At 36.7% G+C, this 3,127-nt stretch overlaps 1 annotated feature.

The window, feature by feature from the left end:
• Window positions 760-929: an enhancer, noted in NCBI's record as "experimental_44716 CRE fragment used in MPRA reporter constructs". NCBI's record gives its function as "activates a minimal promoter by MPRAs in K562 erythroleukemia cells, with activity observed for both the introgressed and non-introgressed 16:76729336 variant alleles {active_cell/tissue: K562}" and the evidence as "EXISTENCE:reporter gene assay evidence [ECO:0000049][PMID:34662402]".

Here is a 3,127-nt window from a genome sequence, read left to right as displayed (position 1 = left end):
TGTAACGTTGAGCAAAAGAAGGCAGACACAAAACAACATATACCCTATGTTTCCAGTTATACAAAGGACAAAAACTGGCAAAATGAATCTCTGCTCTTAGAAACTAAATAGTGGTTAGTTGTCACTGAGGTTTAGTGCCTATGAGGAGTCATAGTGGGGCCTTCCAGAATGTTGGTAATGTTTGTTTCTTGATGTGGATGCTGGCAATATAAATGGATTTGGTCTGTGACTGTACATCAACCTGCACCATTATGAAGTGTGCATTTTTTTCTGTACATGATATGCATCAATAAAACATTGTGAAAAGGCAGCTTAAAATTCCATATCATGATTTTAAAAACAATTCATTGAAGATTAAGTGAAAAATAAAATTTTTTAAATATATGAAAATCGAGACTTTTTGATGTTTCTATTCAACCTTCCTTATGCTGTGTATGTGAGATTTTAGCTCCATGTGGTAGGCTCAGTACACTCTTATAATATTAAGGCTTTTTACCTCTAGATCTCTAATAGCCTAAGATCTAATCTCAATTAGCTGCAAGACAGTCTTATACACCCAGGCTATGGTTAGAGAAACTCATTATCTTCCCAGTTATAGTCTATTTTGTATTTTATCAAATTATAGTAGAGATTTATCTTTGATTAGATTTTTCCCCAAATTCCTGCAACCACTTTTCTCTCTTTGCACCACCATGCATCTAACATACACATGGATCCTGTGGTTTATTTCCCAAGCACAACAGACATGAGTCAATCTCTTATGAGTTTTCTAACTTTATTGTAAGTTTTTCAAATAATGGAGGGAGTTTAGAACATGGAATGGAAAAAAGCAATCTTAAAGTTATATCAGAAAATGTTTCTTCCTAAAGTGCATTGGTCACTGTTTTGTTTTGTTTTGTTTTTAGAATTCTAGTAAATTTATTCCACGATTTTTTTTAATTTATTATACTTCAAGTTCTGGGATACATACGCAAAACGTGCAGGTTTGTTACATAGGTATACACGTGCCACGGTGGTTTGCTGCACCATCAACCCATCATCTATATTGGATATTTCTCCTAATGTTATCCCTCCCCGAGCCCCCTAACCCCTGAAAGGCCCTGGTGTGTGATGTTCGCCTCCCCATGTCCATGTGTTCTCATTGTTCAACTCCCACCTATGAGTGAGAACACGTAGTGTTTGGTTTTCTACTCTTGTATTAGTTTGCTGAGAATGATGGTTTCCAGCTTCATCCATGTCCTTGCAAAGGACATGAACTCATCTTTTTATGGCTACATAGTATTCCATGGTGTATACGTGCTACATTTTCTTTATCCAGTCTATCATTGATGAGCATTTGGGTTGGTTCCAAGTCTTTGCTACTGTGAACAGTGCCACAGTAAACATACGTGTGCATGTGTCTTTATAGTAGAATAGTAATAGGATTTTTGGGTCAAATGGTATTTTTCGTTCTAGATCCCTGAGGAATTGCCACACTGTCTTCCACAATGGTTGAACTAATTTACACTCCTACCAACAATGTAAAAGTGTTCGTATTTCTCCACATCCTCTCCAGCATCTGTTATTTCCTGACATTTTAATGACTGCCATTCTAACTGGTGTGAGATGGTATCTCATTGTGGTTTTGATTTGCATTTCTCTAATTACCAGTGATGATGAGCTTTTTTTCATTTTGTTGGCTGCATAAATGTCTTCTTTTGAGAAGTGTCTGTTCATGTCCTTTGCCCACTTTTTGATGGGGTTGGTTTTTTTCTTGTAAATTTGTTTAAGCTCTTTGTAGATTCTGAATATTAGTCCTTTGTCAGATGGATAGATTGCAAAAATTTTCCCCCATTCTGTAGGCTGCCTGTTCACTCTGATCATAGTTTCTTTTGCTGTGTGGAAGCTCTTTAGTTTAATTAGATCCCATTTGTCAATTTTGGCTTTTGTTGCCATTGCTTTTGGTGTGTTAGTCATGAAGTCTTTGCCCATGCCTGTGTCCTGAATGGTATTTCCTAGGTTTTCTTTTAGGGTTTTTATGGTTTTAGGTCTTATGCTTAAGTCTTTAATCCATCTTGAGTTAATTTTTGTATAAAGTGTAAGGAAGAGATCCAGTTTCAGTTTTCTGCATATGGCTAGCCAGTTTTCCCAGCACCATTTATTAAATAGGGAATCCCTTCCCCCATTGCTTGTTTTTGTCAGGTTTGTCAAAGATCATATGGTTGTAGATGTATGGTGTTATTTCTGAGGCCTCTAAATGCCCACAACAGAAAGTACGAAAGATCTAAAATTGACACCCTAACATCAGAATTAAAAGAACTAGAGAAGCAAGAGCAAACACATTCAAAAGCTAGCAGAAGGCAAAAAATAACTAAGATCAGAGCAGAACTGAAGGAGACAGAGACACAAAAAACCCTTCAAAAAATCAGTGAATCCAGGAGTCGGTTTTTTGAAAAGATCAACAAAATATATAGACCACTAGCCAGACTAATAAAGAAGAAAAGAGAGAAGAATCAAATAGACACAATAAAAAATGATAAAGGGAATCTCCCAGCCGATCCCACAGAAATACAAACTACCATCAGAGAATACTATAAAAACCTCTATGCAAATAAACTAGAAAATCTAGAAGAAATGGATAAATTCCTGGACACATACACCCTCCCAAATCTAAACCAGGAAGAAGTCAAATCCCTGAATAGAACAATAACAAGTTTTGAAATTGAGGCAGTAATTAATAATCTACCAAACAAAAAAAGCCCAGGACCAGATGGATTCACCACCGAATTCTACCAGAGGTACAAAGAGGAGCTGGTACCATTCCTTCGGAAACTATTCCAAACAATAGAAAAAGAGGGAATCCTCCCTAACTCATTTTATGGGGCCAGCATCATCGTGATACCAAAACCTGGCAGAGACACAACAAAAAAAGAAAATTTCAAGCCATTATCCCTGATGAACATCAATGCAAAAATCCTCAATAAAATACTGGCAAACCAAATCCAGCAGCACGTCAGAAAGCTTATCCATCACAATCAAGTTGGCTTCATCCCTGGGATGCAACACTGGTTCAACATATGCAAATCAATAAACATAATCTATCACATAAACAGAACCAATGACGAAAACCACCTGGTTATCTCAATAG

This window comes from Homo sapiens, chromosome 16 (assembly GCF_000001405.40).
Source record: "Homo sapiens chromosome 16, GRCh38.p14 Primary Assembly".
Taxonomy (NCBI): Eukaryota; Metazoa; Chordata; class Mammalia; order Primates; family Hominidae; genus Homo; species Homo sapiens.
This window is presented reverse-complemented; position numbering and strand designations above follow the sequence as displayed.